Source organism: Homo sapiens, chromosome 4 (genome assembly GCF_000001405.40).
Source record: "Homo sapiens chromosome 4, GRCh38.p14 Primary Assembly".
Lineage (NCBI taxonomy): Eukaryota > Metazoa > Chordata > Mammalia > Primates > Hominidae > Homo > Homo sapiens.
In genome coordinates this window covers 83644673-83654148 of record NC_000004.12, presented here as the reverse complement: position 1 = coordinate 83654148, position 9476 = coordinate 83644673, and positions in this window count along the sequence as shown.

The window sequence follows — 9476 nt, the reverse complement described above, 5'->3', positions numbered from 1 at the left end:
TAGTGAAACCCCGTCTCTACTAAAAATACAAAAATTAGATGGGCATGGCGGCACACGCCTGTAGTCCCAGCTACGTGGGAAGCTGAGGCAGGAGAATCGCTTCAACACGGGAGGCGGAGGTTATGGTGAGCCGGAATCGTGCCACTGCACTCCAGCCTGGGCGACAGAGTGAGATTCCATCTCAAAAAATAAATGAATAAATAATAAAAATAAAAAGACTGAACGATTGCTAGTTTTCTTTGAAACCAAAAGAATTGTCTTAGAAAGCAGAATTCATCCCTATGAGGGTGAACTCAGGACATTTACTGTCTGACTGGTGTATAATTTCCAGCTTCTTAATAAGGAGGACATGACATAAATTTGCTTTGCAGCCCAGGGCAGGTACTTCCAATGTGTCTTTCTTCTCCTTGAGCACAGACTTTGCCTTAGTGGTATCTGCTTCATGCTCTCATCACTACCAGAGCCCTTGAGGAGGATTAATCCCCAATACCAGGATGACTTTACCTAGTGGAGAAAAGTCAGTGGAACGGCTGCCGAAGAGGAGAGAGCAAAACAAATCGGGTGGTGTGGGTTTGTGAACAAGGGTGATTCTGTTTCAGCTGCTCCCATTGTCGGTCACTCTTTCACGTGTCCCGACGGCTATCCATGGCTCTCATCCCAAGTGCAGTGAGCAGGCCTCCCACTTTCCATCCCGGTTCTCAGCCCAGAAGAGCAGATGGCACAGGGTGCGCCTATGCCCACGAAGGAGAGGAAAAACTACATCCCAGGGGAAACCCAGGCCCCCCTCTCAGAAAAATAATAAGCCTGTTACTTCTGAAGAAATCCTGGATCAGCCTTTTTAAACATAGGTCAAATTTTAATCCTAAGAGATTTATCAAATGGATATTTTATGCCTTAAATCTATGCATCCACTAGAAAATGGCTCTTATAATTACAGTACATATCAATAAAAGAATGATTTTAGTTCAGGGGAAAAAATGATTGCATAAACTGACAAGAGAAAGAACTCACACATGTTAATCCATCACAGCAATTGAATGAAATGCCTATCCTATTGTTGATAATGATAATATGCATAGCTACTATGTATTGGACACCTGTACCAGGAATTATGCTAAATTGTTTTACATTATCTCATTTAATCCTGATGACTAAACTATAGTGAAGGAATTGTGCCCTGGATTACAGATAAGAAAATGGGATTTTAGAGGGAGGAAGTAAACTGCCCCAGATTACACAATAGAGAGTAGTGGGAAAAGGATTCCGATCAGGACTGCCTGGCTCTGCCCTTAACCTCTACTTACTGGCCATTGCCAGCTTTTCACACCTTTGTGACAAAAACCAGGATAGAGGTTCCGCACTGAGCCATTCTCTCTCCTTCTGTTAGTAACAACATCAGGGCCTGCCTGTCCTGAAACTAAACCAAGGGACTCCACGGTTTGGTTCCTGAGGCTTCCTGTCTAAAGGTATGCACAGGCTGGGCACGGTGGCTCACGCCTGTAATCCCAGCACTTTGGAAAGCCAAGGCAGACAGATCACCTGAGATCAGGAGTTCGAGCCGAGCCTGGCCAACATGGTGAAACCCCGTCTCTACTAAAAATATCAAAAAATTAGCCAAGCATGTCGGTGCACACCTATAGTCCCAGCTACTTGGGAGGCTGAGGCATGAGAATTGCTTGAACATGGAAGGCGGAGGTTGCAGTAAGCTGAGACTGCACCACTGCACAGCCTGGGTGACAGAGCAAGACTCCATCTCATAAATAAATAAATAAATAAATAAATAAATAAATAAATAAATAAATAAAAAAAATACATGCACTCTACCACCCTGGCTTCTCTTCACTGTGGTCAAACTCATAGTTCTCTTTCCTCGCATTCAAAGGTACTTGAACCTGGACCCATTCTCAGATGTTACAGACGTTGTTTCCTCAAGCTACTACACAGTCTTGGTACTGAAGACAAATATATTAGAGATGTCAACTTGTTTCCAGCTTCAAAGTTTTCAATAAAGCACAATAAAGCTTTCGATAAAGCCCAAGATTCATCTTGAATGCAGTGGACAAACTACTTCTGACTAAGGGCTTACTCACATATTTTTGTCTTCTTAGATACACAAGAAACACTGAGCTATTTGCATGGCATTACTGAGCTTTAGATATTTTTGTATTAATTTTTTTGAGACAGTCTCACTCTGTCATCAGGCACTCTGTCATGCCAGAACTAAACTGTGGCACGATCTTGGCTCACTGCAGACTCAAACTCCCAGACTCAAGTGATCCTCCCACCTTAGCCTCGAAGTAGGCGGGACCACAGGCATGGCCACCATGCCCAGCTAAAAGGGTATTTTATTTTTAATTCAAAATGAAATGCCAGAGAGCAGCTTACTCATTTGGAAGGGACCGTCCCTTCCTTTGATTCTCCCAGCCTATGTAAGGGCTCCAATAGCTCTTAGCTTGGGTCACCTTGACCTGCAGCTATCTGAGGACTTGATTCACCAGTTAGTCCAAGCAGAAAACTCTCTGAGAAGAGATTTCTTTTGCTGATCTTCCGTTCTTAGGGCCCTTTATGTCCTCAAAAAAACCGTTGTTGAGTTTAATTTTACCTTTAATTCACACCGAAACAAAGTCAAAAGAAAACCCATCTTATAGAGTGACCCACTCATCCTGGTTTGCCAGGGACTTTCCCAGGTTGGGCACTGAAAGTTTTATGTCCTGGGAGCATCCTCAGTTTGGGGCAAACCAGGAAACTGGTCCTCTCTGGCATATGTATACCAACTTAAAAGTCAGCCACCTACCCAGGAAAAAAACAAAAAATATCTTACATAAACATTTGGCCTTTTCCAAAAACCAAAATGGAACCTAATATGGCAGATTTGGAGACACTCCAAGCTACACAATGAACTTAAAAAGAAAACAAGATTTTACCCCTAAATATATTTCTTTTCTACGCTCTTTTAAAGAACTTTATAATTACATCACAACTATCAAAACATACAAGAGGAGGGGTCAGATGATGGCAGGGAGAGGCCAGATCCTCAGTGTGTGCTTCAGCTCTCAGAACTCCAAGTTAATGTGAACTAAATTGTACCTGTGTCATTTCAGCAGCATACTGTTGCACATGGTTTTTGGTTTTAAGTCAATGTTTCTTAAGGGCCAAAGGGTTAAGGAGAGGTCGCAGGCACAATTGGAGAACCTAAAAACCAGATATCATTCTTGAGAGACTATAATAGCCTGGTGATCAGTTCAAGAAAATCACAGTCATTCAAGATGATGTCTTACATGCACTGGCTTCTCTGTAAAATGAATTTACCTTTTCATTATTATTTACTGAGTGAGCCAGTATTTCATTTGTATGGATTTTATCCAGCAACTGGGGGGGAAGAAAACACAGAAAATCTAATAAAAAAATGAAGCTGCTGTACAATATTTGGAGTCTGTATCCTGCCTTTGTAGGTCATGTTTCTGTTTTTATGATGTTCATTTTAGAAAATGAAAAATATGTATACATACAGAGATATGCATTTTATGTATTTCAATTGACAGCAGATTTGACCTGACAAGTGTGGAGACATACTTATGAGGAATGACAGCAACCAAATAGTGGCAAAAATAAAACCACAACCTCACAAGCAGGTTGGCCTCATAGGTTTATCATTTCAGTAATAATGTGGAATCTTTTCTGCCCGGCACAGACGTTTCAGCTCCACCATCTCGGGATGGGTGGTAGAATACAACACAGTTAGATTTGGCACTGGGTGCCATTCCCCATGGAGAAAGTTGAACTTCTAGAAAGCATGTTCATTAGCAAGTATCCTCCTCTTAAAAGGGACCTTCACTAAACCTTCAACCTTCCATTTCTCATCATCTGTTGTTAACTCCTGGGAGGCAGGAAGCTTCACAATCAAGCATATTGTTTATAGTATCACTGCATTGTGCTGCACGGTACCATCCAGGCCAGAGTTCACTCAAAAGCCTTTAGAAATTAAAATATCTTGTGCAATAATTTTCCAACTGGACCCTGGTATATGATCACATGACAGATAGCAGACCCTGAAGAAAATCAAAATATTTTACCCCCAAATATATACATATAGAGAGAGAGAGAGAGAGAGAGAAAATATATATATCATATATATTTCTCAAAAACATGTATGTCATATATATTCCTCAAAAATATATGTCATATATATTCCTCAAAAACATATATGTCATATATATTCCTCAAAAACATATATGTCATATATATTCCTCAAAAACATATATGTCATATATATTCCTCAAAAACATATATGTCATATATATTCCTCAAAAACATATATGTCATATATATTCCTCAAAAACATATATGTCATATATATTCCTCAAAAACATATATGTCATATATATTCCTCAAAAACATATATGTCATATATATTCCTCAAAAACATATATGTCATATATATTCCTCAAAAACATATATGTCATATATATTCCTCAAAAACATATATGTCATATATATTCCTCAAAAACATATATGTCATATATATTCCTCAAAAATATATGTCTTATATATTCCTCAAAAATATATATATCATATATATTCCTCAAAAATATATATATCATATATATTCCTCAAAAATATATATATCATATATATTTCTCAAAAATATATATATCATATACATTTCTCAAAAATATATATATCATATACATTTCTCAAAAATATATATATCATATATATTTCTCAAAAATATATATATCATATATATTTCTCAAAAATATATATATCATATATATTTCTCAAAAATATATATATCATATATTTCTCAAAAATATATATATCATATATATTTCTCAAAAATATATATCATATATATTTCTCAAAAATATATATTATATATTTCTCAAAAATATATTTATTATATATATTTCTCAAAAATATATATAATACATATTTCTCAAAAATATATATAATATACATTTCTCAAAAAATATATATTATATATTTCTCAAAAATATATATATTATATATATTTCTCAAAAATATATATATTATGTATATTTCTCAAAAATATATATATTATGTATATTTCTCAAAAATATATATATTATATATATTTCTCAAAAATATATATATTATATATTTCTCAAAAATATATATATTATATATATTTCTCAAAAATATATATATAGAGAGAGAGACAGAGTCTCACTCTGTCATCCAGGCTGGAGTGCAATAGCATGATCTCAGCTCACTACAACCGCTGCCTCCCGGGTTCAAGCAATTCTCCTGCCTCAGTGATCCCAAGTAGCTGGGATCACAGATGCGTGCCACCGCGCCCGGCTAATTTTTTGTATTTTTAGTAGAGAAGGGATTTCACCATGTTGGCAGGCTGGTCTTGAACTCCTGACCTCAAGTGATCTGCCCATCTCGGCCTCCCAAAGTTCTGGGATTACAGGCGTGAGACACCGCGCCCAGCCCCGAAACATATTTATTGACATATTTTGAAATACCCCTGCAAAGCCATCTTTTGTAGGAGAAGTTTGCATCTGTAGAGAATCTCCATCAATGCAGCCAGACCTTCCTTTTCCAGGCCTTCTAGGCTCAGCTGACTTCAAGTCTTTAGACAAAGCTGAAGTTTTTCAACCACGTGTCAATCGGAAAAGTCTTTGAATCCACCTGTGGCCTGTAAGCACCACCCCCTATTCAAGATTTCCCACCTTTTTGGGCCAAACCAATACGTACCTCCCATGTATTGATTTTATGTCTTTGCCCGTAACTCCTGGTCTCCCTAAAATGTATAAAACCAAACTGTAACTCAACCACCTCAGGCACACTTTCTCAGGACCTCTTGATACAGTTCCCCAGGCCACGGTCACTCATATTGGCTCAGAATATACCTCTTTAAGTGTTTTACAGAGTCTTTCATGAACAGGAATATTCATTCCCATTCTATCTCTGATTGTTAATACTTGACCACATTTTGTTTCCCCAACTCTTCGGCTGTTTTGACAGTGGTAGAAAGATCACCTGTCAAGCATTGCTTACAGTATCCAAATACAGGAAGTGGCATTCCCTTTTCATCAGTGAAGCATCTGGGTGTCTCTACCCAGATCCAGAGCCATAGGAGCAGCTCCAAACCTTCTGGGTCCCCCAGGAGAGAGTCCACAGTCACTCATCCAGTGCTCAGAGCCTGCCAGAGTAGAGGTATCAGCTGGGTCATCCATCACCAGGATAGGAGGTGCAACAGGCGTCAGCTTGTTTCTACACGGGCTATTACAACATCTCTAGGCCCCATATCCATTGCAGATTGCCCCTAATTTGAGAACTCAAGGTAAATCTTAAATCTTTGCTTGAGCTGAAAACCAAAATTCAAGCTAAAATTAACAGTAAAACCTGCAGTAATTCTGAATAATGATGGTCTCTGTAACAATACAGCACCAGAAATTAAATACTAAAAACCTATTTGAAACAACAGCTCTGTGGCCCACTTTGATGGACACAAAATAACGCTTTTGTTGTTTGTATGAAGTAACATTAAAGAGGAAAAGGGGAATACAAAATGGCATTGTTAGGACAATGTAATCGATTGGTTATCATGATGCAGAATATTTATATGTACATTAGTAAAGATAGAAGATTATTTTGAGTAATAAAGTGGTTTAATAATTATTTTTGGTAAATCTGTTTACATTTGGAAAGAAATTTGAATGGAAGAGAGAGATGTGCAGAAAGAGTTAATATAACTTTAAATGGAACTGGTTTTAAACAAGTGACTCTGTGCTGCTGTCCCACAAAATGCTCCCTTAGAAACCTCTGGCATCCCTCAGGGTCAAACGTGCATAACTTAGTGACCATTTCATCCTCTGAATCCGTAGGTGCCACCCTAGTCACACATTACACTATCACCTTTAACTTTGTCATTCTTCACTCTGCCTAGACCAGAGCAGACTTTTAGAGAATCAAAAGTACAGCCCCACTGGAAATGAGTAAAACCCTACCCCCCAAATAAATGTTTGGTCAGATGGTGTTATCCATCAGAGCTGAAGGGACATGAGGCTAGTGAAGAGAAGATTCTGGGCTTTATGTTAATGCTGACCTTCTCTGGAGCAACGTGGTCTCTTTAGCTTCCACACATGTCTAATCACTAGGGAGTTGTCTAGCTACACGAATTTTTCACATTTGTCAGCTAAATCAGCGCTCCAAATGCACAATGCAGCACTTAGAAACATTATGTGAATTTATTAAATTCTCTGGAGGACTTTGGGTCCATAAAGCAGTAAATTGATTACAGAGAACTGAGGCCATAATATTTTCATCAGCAGCAAAAGCTGCTGTGCTCCCATATTGTGCATGGCATATGAAGAGAAGCTGTTCCTCACTTCACTTGAGCTGGCAGGCTGAGAATCACACAGGAAACAAGGGGAAGGCTCTGGAATGCATCAAAATGATGCGTCATTTAATCAGTTTCTTTCAGAACGCCAGCTTTCAGGTACGCCTCTTATAAGAAAACTAAGGAAAAATATAAATAGCCTCTTCCTGCTTTGGATTTGCCTATGAATGCTTTCAGAATTAGCCCTCATGATCATAGCTGTTCATTGACTTTACCATGAAAGAGCGTATTGACATTATTATCAAAATAAGGGGCATTAGTAGCAGGTCAGGAGGAAACGATGGGTCTGTGTTGATGACATGGCTTGGATACTAAACATGCTTACATGTGGTTTGATGATCACATAACTGATGACCAATATCCCCTCCAAAGAAGGAAGGGAGAATCCTAACACTTTCTAGGATGCCCACCATGCCAGGAATTATTATAGGTGCTTTTCCATAGATTATCCTATTTCAAACTTTGCAACAATCTTAAGAGCTAGGAATGATAATTCCTGTTTTTAAGGGAGAAAGCCAAGGCTTAGTAAATTGCCCAAAATCACACGGCTGAAAAATTAGGTTGGAATCCAGACCAGGACTGTGTGTTTCCAAAGACACCCTTGTTCTTTGACCCCATTTCAAAATCTTTGATGTTCGTGTCTTCTAAAAGATTTCACTCCCCAGAAAGTAATTGGATAGCTTTCTGCTGCTGCATGGGAAAACTTTTGTCGTCTCAAATGTTTCTGGAGGGAGAGGAAGGGGTAAATCTCGGGGCAGTCGTGTTAGTGTCCTGGCACTAGAGCTGTCATTTTAGAACCTGCGAGAAGACTAGAATATTCTAGGCTAGTCCTAGAATATTATTTTGGCCATTTCACTGTGTCTTTGAGCCTTCTTCGGGCATCCTGGAAAAGGGAGTGATTATGACATTTAGGTATGATGAATGATAATCCTTTTTAAATCTATTAACTGGATTTTGATAAACATCTAAAATGACCGTAGTTCTTCCCTCTGCATTGAAAGGAGTGATGCAAGAGGAATAACCAGTGTGTTGGCAATTCTTACTTCTTGGTTGCCTCCAGACTAAACAAGGTCTTCGTATAGAGGAGCAGAGACCTTGCTACAGGAAGACCATGGAGGCAGGGAACAACCACTCCTCTCCTTGCACCACAGCTCTTGGACTGAGTTCTTTGGCTGTGATGGAAAAGAAGCAGTGTCTCTATAAGGCCTAAAAACCCCTGGCTAAAGGCTAATCTCAAAGGGAGGGCTCTGTCTTACTAAAATTTGTGGATTCCCAGTGCTTGGCAGACTGCCTGGTACACAGTAGACCCCCAGTAAGTGTTTATTAGATTCAATTGAAATATTAAGACAGCTCAGCAGTTTGTCAAGTTATAAATGCAGGAGTATGAGAATTACTTTGTGAGCTGTTTTTAAATATAGTAATTTGTGAGCATAATTGTATTTCATATGTGGTAATTCACAAAGTTAAGCCCAGCACTTCCCAGTTCATCTTAAAGCTATCTATTCAAGCAACTCTTGACTCTATAACAAAAACTATCCACTATCCATTATATCTGAATTTTTCTCAGCATATGTGCCCATCCAGAATAGTATTTCAAAACTGGAATTATCCAGGCCACACTGGAGCATATAATCAACTTGGAATTAGCCATTTTTTTCTTTTTTATTATTTCTTCCCCATATTGGCTGCAGTTGTATGAATTACAGATTTTATCTCCCTCAGACTTTTTTGCTTATGGAGTGGGGTGACTGATTTTGGTGCTTTCTCTTTTATTGCCTGTCTGACGTTAAAAATCCTATCAACCGTTCGGAAACTAATCTAATTCATTTCGAGAATAATGTTGTGAACTCTATTTACAGAATCCAAAGCCATAAAGCTTCTAATGCTACGTGAAACAGCACCCCCTACTGGCAATGTTGTCACATTACATCATCATATCCTCAGCACTGAAATCCATCTCTCTCCTGTTGAGAAACTTTGACAAGTAACTTCACAAACAGAACCTATTTAAAATACTTCAAATAGAACAAATCTCTTACTCTGTTTTACCTTCATGGAAACTATTCCTTGATAACAATTTTTGCTAAGAAAGGAAAATATGTGA